General features: G+C 36.5%; 1 protein-coding gene across 10 annotated transcripts in view; it reads right to left on the bottom strand.

Moving 5' to 3' along the window:
- The window catches only part of SLCO6A1 (solute carrier organic anion transporter family member 6A1), a 127,228-nt gene that overhangs the window by 37,382 nt on the left and 70,589 nt on the right, over window positions 1-19,257 (bottom strand). For 8 of the 10 annotated variants that reach the window (XM_011543148.3, XM_011543147.3, XM_047416703.1 and 5 more), the window contains 2 exons: window positions 10,671-10,866; window positions 3,835-3,988 (listed from right to left, as the gene is read on the bottom strand). In XM_011543148.3, coding sequence (XP_011541450.1) covers window positions 3,835-3,988; window positions 10,671-10,866 — 350 coding nt within the window. Of the gene's footprint in view, window positions 1-3,834; window positions 3,989-10,670; window positions 10,867-19,257 lie in introns of those variants that run through there. The other 2 variants (NM_001308014.2, XM_011543154.4) reach the window with 2 other exon arrangements.

Raw genomic sequence — 19,257 nt, forward strand, 5'->3', positions numbered from 1 at the left:
GCCCAGGAATATTATCAATATCAACAGCAGATATCTATTTTCAGTTTTAGTACAGCTGTACTTTTCTAGAGAAACCTAAAAATCGTTAGAGGTATAGTATTTCCTACTACTCCTCTCACAAACTTTTGCATAAGTTTCATTGAAGAGCATCTAATTCTAGCTTATGTTGGCCCTGATCATATTTTGAATAGTAACATTTAATCAGAATTTTTTCATACTTGACATATTTTCATTGAGAAAATATTTTTTAAAGGGGATTCCATTAATAGCATATAGGTACTTGATCATTTTTTGTATAGTGTATCTTATTTTAATTTTTATTTTGTTAAGATTTTTTTATTGGTATCGATCTTTTCCCATTTGAAATTGATGCTTATTCTATCCATTAATCGTTTCCATCCATATCACATTTTACTAAAAGCTTCTACTTGGTAGATTTTCTATCAAAGCCATTTTTCCTAGCAAGGCTAATTGTCCTATTAGGCAATTTCTTTCATATCGATTTTATTCTTTCAGTTTTCATTAAGTATCAAATGTTATCACACAGTTTGAGTGACTATTTTGTGGATTATTTCTATCACTGTTATTCCTCATGAATTAATTACTCCTTAGAGAAATATAAAGAAAACTATGAAGAGTTTCATGAAATAAATAAAGTCTCTAAAAGAGATTCCCTAGAAAAAAAGGACGCAGGGGTTACAGCTATATCCTTCATGGCCTGTTCAGCTCTTGAATATTCCAGGGAATCAAAACATCAAGGTCAAACAGTTTTACTGTATACTGTGATGACATGGTGAGCATTTAAAAATAAAATGAAGGAGAGGAAGTGGTGTTATGGGATCTTTGGGGTGTCACTTTGGAGGCTGGAAATCTCTGTGGCTAATGTGCCTTTGCCCAAGTTCTTATCCTGTGTCCAGGAAGAATGAGGTAGGCAAACAAGTGGAAGGTTAACAAGAAGGAGAGGAGCTTTACTGAGTGTTACAACAGCTCAAAGGAGAACTGCAGTGGGTAGCTCCTCTCTGTAGGCGGGTCATCCTGTCCAGTGTTCAGCTCTCAGCAGAGAGGAGTCCCTCGAGAGGGTTGCTCCTCTCTGCAACTGGTCATCCCCATGTCTGCAGCTCTAAGCAGAGAGGGTAGCTCCTCTCTGTAGCTGGTCATCCTTCATTGCTCCATCCTCTCCTCTGCTCTGGCTGATCCCAGGGCTTTTATGGACCTCAGAGGGGAGGTAGTGCATGCTGATTTGTCCATGGGTGGCCATGGGCAGGCCAGAAAAGGCACCACACCTCTTTGTTGCTCTCTCCCATTCACGAAGACTAGCCAGAGCAAGGAAAGAGAAAGAGAATTTTCAAAGAATGGATCCATACTTCTATGCTATTTAAAAGGTGAAAGTTGGAGTAGATAGTCCATCATTTAGCCAAAAGCTTATTTATGCAACTTGGGATATTAAAAAATTAACCTCAACAAGTGGTAGAGTGGTCAACTGTTTTTCATGACAGAAGAAGAAAATGTGTTAGCATTTTCCCAGAGAAATAAGGGATTCTGATGGTAATGGCCCCACAGATGAGCACATGAGGGAATTTTTAAATAGCCTCAATTTACATAAATGCCAAAGGACAAACAGAAATAACATATATTCGAGTCACATGTGTTATTGCCCCATGAACCTCTAACTAAGTCTCTCACTTTCCTGGATGTACTAACAAAAGCATACAAGTTAGGGTGACTTCTGATAAACCATAGAAGGACTAATTTCCACATCTAAATTAATGTGGAGCAGAAAGAGAAACAGCAAAAAGGTAGAGAGTAAACACTTTGGATTCTTCAGTAGAAGGAAAAACTGAGTGAAAGGTGACCAAAAGGATAGTATTCGTCAATCTCTAGGTGTGGAAAAGATTGTGGCTTGAAGTTTCAGGGGATTGGGTGCCGCTGTTAAGTAGCATAGAGCTAAGACAAACTACATAGGGGAAGGTTCTCTCAGGCTGTTTCGTTCAACTTTGCTATGGCAAGAGGTAGATAAGAGTTCCCCACTGCTTTAAAACAATAAAGTTGGGATGATGTAATATATATATATGTGTGTGTGTGTTTGTGTGTGTATGTGTGTGTGTGTGTGTTTTGTTGTGTTTTTATGAGATATGTTCTCACTCTGTCACCCAGGCTGGAGCACAGTGGCACAATCATGACTCACCATAGCCTTCACCTCCCAGGCTCAGGCAATCCTCCCACCTCAGCCTCCCAAGTACCTGGGACTACAGTCATGCACCACCATGCACAGTTAATTTTTGTATGTTTTGTAGAGACAGGGTTTCGCCATGTTGCCCAGGCTGGTCCCCAACTCCTGGGCTCAAGTGATCCACCCTTTTAGGCCTCCCAAAGTGCTGGGATTATAGGCATGAGCCACTACACCTGGCCCCATAGATGTGTTATTGAGGACTAAGCTCTGATTTTTTTTTTTTTAAATCTTGCCCAAACTCCTATCTAAGGGATCTGGGGACTCATGCCCTTCAAACCATAAATTCTCATCAGATGGGTTTTATTTAACCCTCTTTATCATGACTTACTTTCTAATCTGACTCTGGCATAACATTAGGTGACAAAGAAGAAAATCAAAATATTTTACCTCAAAACATGTTTCTTTGTCATATTTTGAAATGGCCCTGCAAAGCAGTCCTTTGTGGGGGGGAAATGTGCATCTGTAAAGAATCTCTATTAGCATAGCAAATAACGTAACATTTCTTTCAGGTCTTTCCAATCCTGAAGAGGTTCACTGAGAGTCAACCACCTTTTAAAAGGTCTGAATAGGAAATATTTGTCATCTGTTGTCTCTTAGGGTAGCCACTATGAGACTTCAAAAGAACCTTGGTCTCCACAATCTTTTTTCTTAACCTGGACATTTCCTTTCTATTGATCCCAAGTCTTTAGACAAACTCAACCAATTGTCGACCAGAAAATGTTTAAATTTACCTACAGCCTGGAAGCCCTACCCCAAAACCCTACCCCAGCTACAACCCTCCCCTCCCCTGTCTTCAAATTGTCCCGCCTTTCTGGATCAAACCAATGTATTTCTCAAATGTATTTGACTGATGTCTCATGCCTCCCTAAAATGTATAATACAAAGCTTCACTGTGACCACCTTGAGCACACGTTCTCAGGACCTCCCAAGGTGTCACAGGCCATGGTCACTCATATCTGGCTGAGAATAAGTCTCTTCAAATATTTTACAGAGTTTGACTCTTTTCATTGACATTTTAATGTAGGAATATCTCTTTCACTCCCAATTTCCATAAGCTCTTTGTATTGTGGCAATATAAAACAAATTTTTGCCAGGCACGGTGACTCACATCTATAATCCCAGCAGTTTTGGAGGTGAGACCAAGGCAGGTGGATCACTTGAACTTAGGCATTCAAGACCAGCTTGGGCAGCATGGCAAAAACCCATCTCTAAAAAAATTACAAAAATTAGCTGTGTGCGGTGGTGTGCGCCTGTAGTTTCAACTATCCTGTAGGCTGAGGTGGGAGGATGGCTTGAGCCCAAGAGGTGGAGGTTGCAGTGAGCTGGGATCTCTCCACTGCACTCCAGCCTGGGTGACAGAGTCAGATCTTGTCTCAAAAAATAAACACACACCAAAAAAAAAAAACAAATTTTATTTTCTTGTCTTTAACACTTAAAAGGGGAAAATAAGAAAAAATAGGTTTTATACAGAGTTGGAAGAAAAATGTTAATAGCATCTACAAGTTGAACATTTCACTAAAGAGGAAGAAGCATAAAAATAATAATTATAATATAATGAAAATATAAATGTATAACAAAACATAATAATTATAAAAAATAATTACCTTTTTTTGGTTTTGTGCTTTAGAATATGTACACCCTGCAAAGCAGGGAGAAAAATATTCAATATCATCTCTTCCACATATAGAAGAATAAATTGAAGATGAGCATCTACATTTTTCATTGCAAGGAGCCGTGAGGTTTCCCAACTTCCCTGTTCTGTAAAAACAAGATTGAATGTAATCATATTACCATTGTTTTATAATTATTGATGCAAATGTCAAGATATCAGTGAGATCCATAAAATATGCTTATTGAAATAATTTCTTTTTTTAACAGCTTTACTGAGGTCTGAGGTACAATAGACTGCACATACTTAGACTAAAATTTGAAGATTTTTGATATGTGTATACACTTGTGAAATCATCACCAAAATCATGCCAACAAACATAATAATCAAAAGTTTATTTATAACAAACATAATAATAAAAAAAAAAACCCAAAAGTTTCCTTGTGCCCCTTGGTAATTTCCCCACTCCCTAGCATACACTGATCTACTTTCTGTTACTATTCACTTGTTTGAATTTCCTAAGTGTTTATGAAATAGAATCATAGAATATGTCTGGTTTCTTTGGCTTCTTTCATGCAGCTGGTCTTTATTTGGTCTTTGTATGGTCATATGCTTCCATGTCTCTTGGGTAAATATTAAGAAATAGAATGTTTGCATCATGCAGTAGGTGTTCACTTAACTTTTTAAGAAACTGTCAGTTTTTCAGAACTGTTGTGATATTTTACATTTCCATCAGCAGTGTATAAGAGTTTCGTTTGTTCTCCTCACCAACACTTGGTATGGTCTCTTTTTAAAAAAATGTTAGACATTTTAACGGGGTGTAGTAGTTTCATATTTTGGGTTTTAATAGGCATTTTGCTAGTGACAAATGATGTCGATCATCTTTCCATATATTTCTTTTCAAACTGTATTTTTTATTAAATATCTGTTCAAATCATTTGCCTATTTTGTTGGATTGCTTATTTTTTAATATTCTGGAAGTAATTTTTTTGTTAGATATATTATTTTCCAATAGTTTTTCACATTCTATGGCTTGCTTTTTCATACCATAAACAAGTTCTTTCAAACAGTAGTTTTTAAATTTCTGACAAGTTTCAATTTATCAATTCATTTTTTTCTGGATTATGTGTTTGGTGTCACATCTAAAAGATACTTGCCTAATGCAAGATAAAAAATATTTTCTCTTATATTTTTGGAGTTTTATATTTTATATTTACATCTATAATTCATTTTGAACTAATTATTTTATATGGTGCAAGATGTGAATTAAAATTCATTCATTTGCATATAGATATCTATCCAGCATAATTTCTTAAAATTATTGGAGCAAGACAAAATTGCCCACTTTTAGCAGTCCTATTCAAAATAGTACTGGAAGTCCTAGCCAGAGCAACCAGGAAAGAGAAAGAGAATAAAAGGCTTCCAAATTGGAAAAGAGAAAGTCAAATTATCCCTGATCATTGATGATACAATCTTAGGCCTAGAAAAACCTAAAGATGCCAATAAAAATCTCTTAGATTTGATAAATGAATCCAGTAAAGTTTCAGTGTAGAAAATTAACATACAAAATTAGTAACATTTTTATACACCAATAAAAATCTAGCTGAGAACAAGCCAGGCCGGGCACGATGGCTCATGCCTATAATGCTAGCACTTTGGGAGGTCGGGGCAGGTGGATTGTCTGAGCTCAGGAGTTTCCGACCGGCCTGGGCAACACAGTGAAACCCCATCTCTACTTAAAATGCAAAAAAATAGCCAGGCGTAGTGGCATGCACCTGTACTCCCAGCTACTTAGCAGGCTGAGGCAGGAGAATTGCTTGAACCAGGGAAGTGGAGGTTGCAGTGAGCTGAGATTGTACCACGGCACTGCAGCCTGGGCAAAAAGAGTGAAACTCCATCTCAAAGTAAGTAAGTAAATAAATAAATAAATAAATAAATAAATAAATTAATTAATAAGGCAAGCTTGTTTACAATAGGTCCAAAAAGTAAAATACCTAGGAATATATTAAACTAACAAGGTGAAAGATCTCTATAAGAAAAGAAAACTACAAGAAAGTAATTGTTGATAACACAAACAAATGGAAAAACTTTCCATGATCATGGATCAGAAGAATTAATCTTGTTAAAATGATTTTACTGCCCAAAGCAATCTACATATTCAATAAAATCCCCATCAAAATATCAGCATCATTTTTATAGAATTTTTTAAATCCTAAAATGCATATACAAACAAAACTAGAAGCCCAAATAGCAAATGTAATTCTAAGCAAAAGGAACAAAATTGGAGGTATCACATTATCCAACTTCAAATTACATTATAAGGCTACAGTAACCAAAACAGCATTGTAGTGGTATAAAAATAGACCCATATATCAATGAAATAGAACAGAAAACCCAGAAGAAAAGCCACATATTTATAGCCAACTGATCTTTGACAAAGTTAACTGGGATATACATTTAGAGAAAGGACACCCTTTTCAATATATGATGCTGGGAAAATTGGATTGTTATGTATAAGAGAATGAAAATGGACCCCTGTCTGTCACCATATACAAAAAGCACTCAACATGGATTAAAGACTTAAATATAACTCTCCAAACTCTAAAAATACCAGAAGAAAACATAGGAAAAATTCTTTCAGACATTGGTCTAGGCAAAGAATTCGTGATTGATACCTCAAAAGCACCAGCAACCAAACAAAAATAGACAAATGGGACTTAATTAAACTAAAAAGCTTTTGCACAGCAAAAGATATAATCAACAGAGTGAACAAACAACCTGAAGTTTAGGAGAAAATATTTTCAAGCTATCCATCCAACGAAGACTAATATCCAGAATATACAAGGAACTCAAACAGCTAAACAAAAACCCCCACAAATAATTTCACTGAAAGGGGGCAAATGACATGAATAAACATTTTTCAAAAGAAAACATACAAATAGCCAACAGGTGTATGACAAATGCTCAACATCATTGATCATCAAACAAATGCAAATCCAAACCATAACGAAGTATGATGTTACCCTAGTCAGAATGGCTATTTTTAAAAAGTTAAAAGATAACAGATGTTAGAAAAGATATGGAGAAAAGGGAATGCTTCTACACGGTTGGTGGGAATGTAAATTAGTACAACTTCTATGAAAAACAGTAGATGTTTTCTCAAAAACTAAAAAATATAACTACCATTCAATCTAGTACTCTCACTATTGGGTATCTAACCAGAGAAAAATAAAATAATATATCAAAAAGATATCTGTAGTTATTTATAGCAGCAATATTCACAATAGCAAAGATAAGAAATCATCCTAAATATCCATCAACAGATGATTGAATTAAAAAATGTGATATATAAATATTTATATATACATATATATACACACACGTTGAATACTATTTAGTCATAAGAAAAAAATGAAATAATGTCTTTTATGGCAACATAGATGAAACGGGAAGTCATTATCTTAAGTGAAACAAGCCAGACACAGACAGACAAATATCACATGTTCTCAGTCACAACTGGGAGCTAAAACTTGTGTACCCATAATTGTAGAGAGTGGAATGATAGACCATGGAGACTCAGAAAGGTAAGGAGGTGAGAAGGTGACAGATAATGAGAAATTACTTAATGGGTATAATGTATATTATTTGGGTGATAGATACCCTAAAAGCCCTGACTTGACCACTTATCTCACCTATGCCTGTAACAAAATTGCAATCATACCCCACAAATTTATGTAAATAAAAAATATATTAAAAATGTACTGAGATTGGTTTTGCAATCCGGAATATGCTCCAACTTGGTAACCATTACATGCGTGCATGAATAGAATGTGTATTGTTATGTGGGCCATTTCTACAAATGTCAATTAAGACAGTTGGCAGTATGGTTCAAACCAGAATTTTTTGATCTACTTCTGACCACTGATTTTTTTGGTCTACTTTTTCTATTTATTGTTGAGCCTTCTTCTATCCATTATCTGACTATAGCTGTAAATGTCTTCATTTCTCCTTGCAGTGTACACATTTTTGCTCTACATGCAGTTAATACATACTTAGGATTGCTATGTATTCCTGATGAATTGGTAATTTTATCATTATGTAATGATCTTCTTTATTCCTGCTAATATTCTTTGCTCTCAAAAATACTTGATCTGGTGTTATACTCCAGCTTTCTTTTGCTTGTTGTTAATAAGATACATCTTTTCCCATTCTTTCTGCTTAATATACTACTATCTATATTTGAAATGCATTTATAAAATACAGCATATATAGTTGGGTCTTCTTTTTTTTTTCAAAATAAAGATTATCTCCCTTTTAACTGAGATGTTCAGCTATGTACATTTAATGTGATTACTAATATGGTTAGGTTTAAATCTACCCTCTTCTTGCTTCCCATTTGTCCTATCTCTTTTTGTTCACTTTTTCCTTTTTTTCTGCCTAATTTGGGATTAAATATCTATTTTTTAATAATTTCATTTTAACTATGTTGATTTATGTGTTGTGACTCTGTTATTTTAGTGATTGCTTCAAGATTTATAGTATACATTTTTAACTTAACACAGTCTACCAACATGTGCTATTATAGCATTTCATGTAAACCCATATTACATATTTTTCTGTTTTAAATAATTATTTTCAAAGAGACAAGTAATAATTTTAAAAATGTATATTTATCCACATAGTTAACATTTTTATTGCTCTTCTTTCCTTTATGTAGATTCATATTTACATCTGGTATCATTTATTTCTGACTGAAAGACTTCCTTTAACATTTTATGTAGTGTGGGTCAGGAGTTAAGACCAGCCTGGCCAATATGGTGAACCCTGTCTCTACTAAAAATACAAAAATTAGCTGGGTGTGGTGGAGGTTACATGCCTGTAATCCCAGCTACTAGGAGGCTGAGGTGGCAGAATCACTTGAACCCTGAAGGTGGAGGTTGCAGTGGGCTGAGATTGTGCCACTGCACTCCAGCTTGGGTGACAAGAGCGAAACTCCGTCAAAAAAAAAAAATTACTTACTTTTTTCGTCTAAAATTATTTCTCCTTCATTTTTTTGACAGATATTCTGGGTTGATATAAAATTAAAGGTGACTTTTTTTTAAGGACTTTAAAAATATTATTCCACTGTCTTCTTACCTGCATTTGTTTCTGATAAAAATATGCCATTACCCTTATCTTTGGACATTTATACATAAAGTATATGTATATGTATAAAGTATATGTATATACATATACTTTTTGCTAATTTTTGCTAATTTTAAGATTTGCTTTATATCATTTATTTTGAATAATTTGATTACAATGTGTTATGGTGTAATTTTTTTCATGTTTCTTGTACCAAAGTTTTGCTGAGTTTTTAACATGTTTACAGTTTATTTTTATATGAAATTTGAAAAATTTTGGCCATAATATCTTGATATATTTTTCTTTCTCCAGATGCCCTCCTTTGGGGACTTCAGTTACACATACAATGGCCATCTGAAGCTGTTCAATTCATTGACATTTTGTTAATTTTTATTAATTCTATTTTCTCTCTGTTTTCTGTTGGATAATTATTGCTACTGATATGAAGTTCACTTATCATTTATATTTTATAGCTTTGGATCATATTATCTCTCTATGACACAGCTTGTTGGCTGACCACACTAATCCAATTAAGAGACCAAATTAACTCCTGGCCAGGCCATAGTACTTTAGAAAGGCTCCTGGCTCCTAGGTCCTAGCCTTACACAGATGTTAATTGAGAACCAGGATTTACCAGGATTCCTTTACCCAGCACACTCTAAACTCTATCTCCTATCTACAGAGCATCACAATATGGCTGGAATTCTTCCCTGATTTTCATGGGATTTCTGCTTGATTTTAGCCTCCTAGCTTCATAATACAGCAAATTTCTTGAGTTATAAGCCGGCAGAGTGTTGCATCATTTGTTTACCTCTCTCTGCTCTCTGATACCATGGCCTTTCTATGTACTAATTTTTTTCTCTTTAGACTCATATGTCTATTAAAATTCTTGTAATCTTACTAGATGCTTTTGCCCAAACTCTTCACCCAAATTCTCAGCTTGTTGCCAATGTTCAGAATCAGCAAATACTCTCAGGGAAAAAGTGGCTGCAAAAAGTTGCCCCTCCTCTCCATGGTTTGCCTTTTCCCAGGATTTTGGCCTTTAAATTCCTAGTTGCCTAAATAACTCTTTGATTCCTTTAACCAAATCTTTTAAAACTGTATTCAGCTTTTCTAGTTATTCTCAGTGAGAAGATTGATCTGCCATAAACTAATCCATTGTTGCTCAAAGTAGAAGTCTTAAACTCTTATTTTACTTGTTCAGTCCTTTGGTTTCCAATTCCAGTTTTGTTATTTAGTATTTAATATCAAGCTTTGCCCAATTCTTCGAATTTTGGCATGTTTAGCTTAAATGAGATATTACCCATGCATACCTTCAGATGAACTTTAGTTTCATTCTTTGATGTCTATAAGAAGGCAGACAAACCAATTCAGAAACACAAGGTAAGACTGGCTTTGCACAGTTAGTACTGTCTCCTAGTTGCTACCCACCCTAATACAAAACTTTATTTATAGGTTCCAAACCTCTTCAATGTGTTTTTTCTTCATTACTTTACGAATGCATAAACAGTCATATAAAAAGATACCATTATAATATTTGTGCCTTACTATGAAAATTTAAACTGTACTTTATATTTCTTTTATGTGTTTGATAATTCCAATAATTATATGAACATATAAGGGTTACTGGATAGATAATTATTAATTGCCTGAGGAATATGCTGTAGGATTTTGATGTAAAAGTCTAATATACAAGACTACATTTACCCATCATAATCTTCATTGATCCCAGCAAATTGCACTGGATTACAGCGTACAAAAATAATAAACACAAGCAGTATAAGTGATATCACAGATGTAACCATTATAAATCTCATAAGGGCTTTACAAGACATTTCTAATGTGGAAACAATGACACCTCCCAGAAGCTGGCCAAGTGCACCTCCTGGAATTAAAACAAGTCCTAAAAAAAAGGAGGAGAAAAACACAGTTAAAAATAATCAGCTGATAGTACAGATAATACATACATTGATACAATTTCCTTTGCTCTAAACATATAGCAAACATGTATTTAAACTAAAAGACAGAAAATGTACAGTTATGCTAAATAGCTTGACGAACCCGAACCTTAATAGAAACAAAAACCTGTCAGCAGGGCTGAAGCCATAGGCCTACTGACTTCAGGGCAGTGATGGTGAAGTTTTGGTCCTTTATAGTAATGCCATCAAGGACAAACCGGGAACTTAGTCCATGCAAAATGGAAGACGAGAGCTGTCTTATTGAGATCTATTATTAACAAGCTTCCTGGATTTATAGCTTATCACAAGAGACAGGATTATACTGACAAAAGTTCACAGAGATTTGTTAACAAGAATTGAACCAAGCCACCCATTAGTTCTATGAATGAACGTTCAATATTAATAATCTCACAACAAAGTGGGACTCTAGAAGAGCCATTAAAAGACATTGTTTTCTATCCAAGAGTAAGGAATTAGAAACAGGTAAGCAAAAGAAAGAGAAAAAGGAGGGGGAGGAGGAGGAGGAGCAGGAGAAATATAGTCAGAAGACAATCAGATGAGATAGCACAGTAAATTCATACATTGATGCAACTCCCTGTAATCCAAATATATAATACTGTTACATCTAAATATGAATTTAACAAGAAAAACATAGGATAAAAAACAACAAAAAAAATCCCATTAACACTAGATTAAATTTATAGAAGTGCCTGACAAAGACTTGAAAATAAACAATTTTAGAATGCTTAGAAAGATAAATGACATAAAGAGCTCCAGTCTGCAGCTCCCAGAGAGACCAATGCAGAAGGTGAGTGATTTCGGCATTTCCAACTGAGGTACCCGGTTCATCTCACCGGGACTCATTAGATAGCGGGTGTAGCCCACGGAGGCCGAGCAGAAGCAGGGTGGGGAATCACCTCACCCGAGAAGCAGAAGGGGCTGGGGAACTCCCTCCCCTAGCCAAGGGAAGCTGTGAGGGACTGTGCCATGAGGGACGGTGCTATCCGGCCCAGATACTATGCTTTTCCCATGGTTTTGGCAATCCACAGATAAGGAGATTCCCTCGGGTGCCTACACCACCAGGGCCCTGGGTTTCAAGCACAAAACTGGGCTGCCAGTTGGGCAGACAATGAGCTAGCTGCAGGAGTTTTTTTTTTTCATACCCCAGTGGCACCTGGAACCCCAGTGAGACAGAACTGTTCACTCCCCTGGAAACGGAGCCGAAGCCAGGGAGCCAAGTGGTCTTGCTCAGCAGGTTCCACTCCCATGGAGCCGAGAAAGCTAAGATCCACTGGCTTGAAATTCTTGCTGCCAACACAGCAGTCTGAAGTCAACCTAAGATGCTCGAGCTTGGTGGGGAGAGGGGCATCTGCCATTACTGAGGCTTGAGTAGGCAGTTTTCCCCTCACAGTGTAAACAAAGCCGATGGGAAGTTTGGACTGGTGGAACCCCCAACAGCACGGCAAAGCCAGTGTAGCCAGACTGCCTCTCTTGATTCCTCCTCACTGGGCAGGGCATCCTTGAAAGAAAAGCAGCAGCCCCAGTCTGGGGCTTATAGATGAAACTCCCATCTCCCTGGGACAGAGCACCTGGGGGAAGGGGTGGCTGCGGGTGCAGCTTCAGCAGACCTAAACATTCCTGCCTGCTGCCTCTGAAGAGAGCAGCACATCTCCCAGCACAATGCTCGAGCTCTGCTAAGGGAATGACTGCTTCCTCAAGTGGGTCCCTGACTCCCATGCCTCCTGACTGGAAGACACCTCCCAGCAGGGGTCAGCAGACACTTCATACAGGAGAGCTCCGGCTGGCATTTGGCAGGTGTCCATCTGGGACAAAGCTTCCAGAAAAGGAGCAGGCAGCAATCTCTGCTGCTCTGCAGTCTCTGCTGGTGATACCCAGGCAAACAGGGTCTGGAGTGGACCTCCAGCAAACTCCAGCAGACCTGTAGAAGAGAAGCCTTACTGTTAGAAGAAAAACTAACAAACAGAAAGCAATAACATCAACATCCACAAAAAAGATGCCCATGCAAAAACCCCATCCAAAGGTCATCGGCATCAAAGATCAAAGGTAGATAAATCCATAAAGATGAGGAAAAACCAGTGCAAAAAGGCTGAAAATTCCCAAAACCAGAATGCCTCTTCTCCTCCAAAGGATCACAACTCCTCACCAGCAAGGGAACACAAATGGACAAAAAATGAGTTTCACAAATTGACAGAAGTAAGCTTCAGAAGGTGGGTAATAACAAACTCCTCTGAGCTAAAGGAGCACATTCTAACCCAATGCAAGGAAGCTAAAAACCTTGATAAATGGTTACAGGAGCTGCTAACTAGAATAACCAGTTTAGAAAAGAACACAAATGATCTGATGGAGCTGAAAAACACAGCACAAGAACTTTGTGAAGCATACACAAGGAACAATAGCTGAATCGATCAAGTGGAAGAAAGGATATCAGAGATTAAAGATCAACTTAAGGATATAAAGCATGAAGACAAGATTAGAGAAAAAAGAATGAAAAGGAATGAACAAAGCCTAAAAGATATATGGGACTCTATGAAAAGACCAAACCTATGATTGATTGGTGTACCTGAAAGTGATGGGGAGAATGGACCCAGGTTGGAAAACACACTGCAGGATATTATCCAGGAGAACTTCCCCAACCTAGCAAGACAGGCCAACATTCAAATTCAGGAAATACAGAGAACACCACTAAGATACTCCATGAGAAGAGCAACCCCAAGACACATAATCATCAGATTAATCAAGGTTAAAACAAAGCAAAAAATGTTAAGGGCAGCTAGAGAGAAAGGTCAGGTTACCTACTAAGGGAAGCCCATCAGACTAAGAGCAGATCTCTCTGCAGAAACCCTACAAGCCAGAAGATAGTGGGGGCCAATATTCAACATTCTTAAAGAAAATAATTTTAAACCCAGAATTTCATATCCAACCAAACTAAGCTTCATAAGTGAAGGAGAAATAAAATTCTTCACAGACAAGCAAATGTTGAAGGATTTTGTCACCACCAGGACTGCCTTACAAGAGCTCCTGCAGGAAACACTAAATATGGGAAGGAAAAACTAGTACCAGCCACTGCAAAAACACCAAAATATCATGACCAACAACACTATGAAGAAACTCCATCAACTACTGTGCAAAATATCCAGCTATCTTCATGATGACAGGATCAAATTCGCACATAACAATATTAACCTTAAATGTAAATAGGCTAAATACCCCAATTAATAGATACAGAATGGCAAATTGGAAAAACAGTCAAGACCCTTCACTGTGCTGTATTCAGGAGACCCATCTCATGTGCAAAGACACACATAGGCTCAAAATAAAGGGATAGAGGAATATTTACCAAGCAAATGGAAAGAAGAAAAAAAAGCAGTGGTTGCAGTCCTAGTCTCTGATAAAACAGACTTTAAACCAACAAAGATCAAAAAAGCCAAAGAAGGGCATTACATATTGGTAAAGGGATCAATGCAACAAGAGCTAGCTATCTTAAATATATATGCACCCAATACAAGAGCACCAAGATTCATAAAGCAAGTTCTTAGAAACCTACAAAGAGACTTAGACTCTCATACAATAATAGTGGGACACTTTAACACCCCACTGTCAATATTAGACAGATCAACGAGATAGAAAATTAACAAGGATATTCAGGACTTGAACTCAGCTCTGGACCAAGCTGATCTAATAGACAACTACAGAACTCTTCACCCCAAATTAACAGAATATACATTCTTCTCAGCACCACACAGCATTTATTCTAAAATTGACCACATAACTAGAAGTAAAACACTCCTTAGCAAATGCAAAAGAATGGAAATCATAACAAACAGTCTCTCAGACCAAAGTGCAACCAAATTAGATCTCAGGATTAAGAAACACACTCAAAACTGCATAACTACATTGAAACTGAACAACTTGCTACTGAATGACTACTGGGTAAATAATAAAATTAAGGCAGAAATAAATAAGTTCTTTAAAACCAATGAGAACTAAGACAAGGTACCAGAATCTCTGGGACACAGCTAAAGCAGTGTTTAGAGGAAAATTTATAGCACTAAATGCCCACAGGAGAAAGCAGGAAAGATCTAAAATTGACACCATAACATTGCAATGAAAAGAACTAGAGAAGCAAGAGCAAAAACATTCAAAAGCTAGCAGAAGACAAGACATAATTAAGATCAGAGCAGAACTGAAGGAGACAGAGACACAAAAAGCCCTTCAAAAAATCAATGAATCAAGGAGCTAGTTTTTTGAAAAGATTAACAAACTAGATACACTGCTAGCCAGACTAATAAAAAAGAAAAGAGGGAAGAATCAAACAGACACAATAAAAAATAATAAAAGGGTGTCACCACTGATCTCACAATAATACAAACTACCATCAGAGAATACTATAAACACTTCTATGCAAATAAAGTAGAAAATCGAGAATAAACTGATAAATTCCTGGACACATACACCCTCCCAAGACTAAACCAGGAAGAAGTCGAATCCCTGAGTAGGCCAGTAACAAGTTCTGAAATTGAGGCAGTAATTAGTAGGCTACCAATGAAAAAAAGCCCAGGATCAGATGGATCGACAGCCAAATTCTACAAGAGGTACAAAGAAGAGTTGGTACCATTCCTTCTGAAACTATTCCAAACAATAGAAAAAGAGGGACTCCTCCTTAATTCATTTTATGAGGCCAGCATCATCCAGATACCAAAACCTGGCATAGACAAAACAACAAAGAAATTTCAGACTAATATTCCTGATGAACAGTGTTGGGAAAATCCTCAACAAAATACTGGCAAACCGAATCAAGCAGCACACTAGAAAGCTTATCCACCATAATCAAGTCATCTTCATTCCTGGGATGCAAGGCTGGTTCAACATACACAAATCAATAAACATAATCCATCACATAAACAGAACCAATGACAAAAACCACATGATTATCTCAATAGATGCAGAAAATCCCTTCGATAAAATTTAACACCCCTTCATGCTAAAAACACTCAATAAACTAGGTATTGATGGAGCATATATCAAAATAATAAGAGCTATTTATGATAAACCCACAGCTAATATCATACTGAATGTGCAAAAGCAGGAAGCATTCCCTTTGAAAACTGGCACAAGACAAGGATGCCCTCTCGCACCACTCCTATGCAACATAGTATTGGAAATTCTGCCCAGGGTGATTAGGCAAGAGAAAGAAATAAAGCGTATTCAAATAGGAAGAGAGGAAGTCAAATTATCTCTGTTTGCAGATAACATGATTGTATATTTAGAAAACCCCATAATCTCAGCCCAAAATCTCCTTAAGAGGATAAGAAACTTTGGCAAAGTCTCAGGATACAAAATCAATGTGCAAAAATCACAGGCATTCCTATACACCATTAGTAGACAGAGTACCAAATCATGAGTGAATTCCCATTCACAACTGCTACAAAGAGAATAAAATACCTAGGAATACAAGGTATTTACAAGGGATGTGAAGAACTTCTTCAAGGAGAACTACAAACCACTGCTCAAGGAAATAAGAGAGGACAGAAGCACATGGAAAAACATTCCATGCTCATGGATAGGAAGAATCAATATCGTGAAAATGGCCATACTGCCCAAAGTAATTTATAGATTTATGCTATTCCCATCAAACTACCATTGACTTTATCCACAGAATTAGAGAAAACTACTTTAAACTTCATATGGAACCAAAAAGAGCCCATACAGCCAAGACAATCCTAAGCCAAATGAACAAAGCTGGAAGCATCACGGTACCTGACTTCAAATTATACTACAAGGCTACAGTAACCAAAACAGCATGGTACTGGTACCAAAACAGAGATATAGACCAATGGAACAGAACACAGCCCTCAGAAATAATGCTGTGTATCTACAACTATCTGATCTTTGACAAACCTGACAAAAACAAGCAATGCGGAAATGGTTCCCTATTTTATAAATGGTGCTGGGAAGATTGGCTAGCCATATGCAGAAAACTGAAACTGGACCCCTTCCTTACAGCTTATACAAAAATTAACTCAAGACAGATATAAGACTTAAATGTAAAACCTAAAACCATAAAAACCCTAGAGGAAAACCTAGGCAATACCATTCAGGACATAGGCATGGGCAAAGACTTCGTGACTAAAACACTAAAAGCAAAGGCAATAAAAGCCAAAATTGACAAATGGAATCTAATTAAACTAAAGAGCTTCTGCACAGCAAAAGAAACTATCATCAGAGTGAATGGGCAACCTACAGAATGGGAGAAAATTTTTGAAATCTATCCATCTGACAAAGGCTAATATCCAGAATCTACAAGGAACTTAAACAAATTTACAAGAAAAAAACAAACAACCCCATCAAAAACTGGGCAAAGGATATGAACAGACACTTCTCAAAAGAAGACATTTATGTGGTCAACAAAGACATGAAAAAAAGCTCATCATCACTGGTTATTAGAGAAATGCAAATCAAAACCACAATGAGATACCATCTCATGCCAGTTAGAAAGGCAATCATTAAAAAGTCAGGAAACAACAGATGCTGGCAAGATTGTGGAGAAATAGAAACACTTTTACACTGTTGGTGGGAGTGTAAATTAGTTCAATCATTGCGGAAAACAGTGTGGTGCTTCCTCAAGGGTCTACACCAGAAATACTATTTGGCCCAGCAATCCCATTACTGCTTATATATCCAAAGGATTATAAATAATTCTACAATAAAGACACATGCACAAGTATGTTTATTGCAGCACTATTTACAATAGCAAAGGCTTGGAAGCAACCCAAATGCCCATTCATGATAGACGGGATAAAGAAAATGTGGCACATATACACCATAGAATAGTATGCAGCCATAAAGAAGATTGAGTTCATGTCCTTTGCAGGTCATGGATAAAACTGGAAACCATCATTCTCCACAAACTAACACAGGAACAGGAAATAAAACATCACATATTCTTACTCATAAGTGGGAGTTGAACAATGACATAAAAATGAAAGTGTTCATATAAATAAAGAAGAAAAATAAAAAGAGATGATAAAAAAGTGAATAAAATATAAATAAGAAACCTGGATATTAAAAAATATAATTCTTAAAAACTCAAATCTCAGGATGACCTTCAGACTAGAGACAATTATAAGCAAATTGATAAAGTACACTGTGTTATTACAGTGTGTATTAAAAAAAGATAAAAGAGTGAGAGAAGAATAACCAAAACAAACAAAAGACAATGAGTACAGGGGAGAAACCTGGCAAATGCTACCTCAGCCAGGTGATCAAAGTCAAATTCAAAAGCAGTCACTCACATGGATAGTATATTCCCTTGATATGATGTTTTGAAAATGATACTTTACCTCTGGGTCTTCCTTCCAAAAACTATAATCCCAGTCTAATCATGATAAAAATATTAGGCAATTTTCTATAGTGGGACATCTTACAGAACAACTGGCCAGTACTCCTAAAAACTGTAAGGTCATCAAAAACAAGGAAAGACTGAGAAATTGTCATAGCCAAGAGAACTTCAAAGAGACATGACAACTAAATATAGTGTAGTATCTTGAATGAGATCCTGGGACAGAAAAAGGACATTAGGTAAAAATTGAAAAAAATCTGCACAAACTATTGACTTTAGTTAGTAATATTGTATTAATTTTGGTTCATTAATTATGACAAATCTACCATGCTAATATAAGATGTTTATAAAAGGGGAAACTGGGTGTACAGTATGTGGAAACCCCCTCTCTCTGTGTGTGTATGTATACATATATATATATATATATATTTTTTTTTTTTTTTTTTTTTTTGAGACCGAGTCTTGCTCTGTCACTAGGTTGGAGTGCAGTGGCATGGTATTGGCTCACTGTAACCTCTGCCTCCTGGGTTCTAGCCATTCTCCTGCCTTAGCCTCCCAAGTAGCTGGGATTACAGTTGTGCACCACCATACCACCATACTAATTTTTGTATTTTTAGTAGAGACCGGGTTTCACCTTGTTGGCCAAGCTGGTCTTGAACTCCTGACAAGTGATCCACCCACCTCAGCCTCCCAAAGTGCTGAGATTATAGGCATGAACCACCATATCTGGCCAGAAACTCTCAATATTATTTCTATCTTCAAGATATCTAAAACTGTTCAAAAAATAGTTCTTGAAAAAAAGATAATAAAAATAAATAAGAAGCTCCACAAAAAGGCTTCTAGCAGTTGTGAAAAAACAATACAAGTAATACCAGAAAAACAATTGTTTGAAAAATTGCAGCTGAGGATGAAAAATTTACATAATTAATGAAATATTAGCCCTGGAAATAAATGTACACTCCAACTACTGAGAAGT

The sequence above is a fragment of the Homo sapiens genome, chromosome 5 (genome assembly GCF_000001405.40).
Source record: "Homo sapiens chromosome 5, GRCh38.p14 Primary Assembly".
NCBI classification, from domain to species: domain Eukaryota; kingdom Metazoa; phylum Chordata; class Mammalia; order Primates; family Hominidae; genus Homo; species Homo sapiens.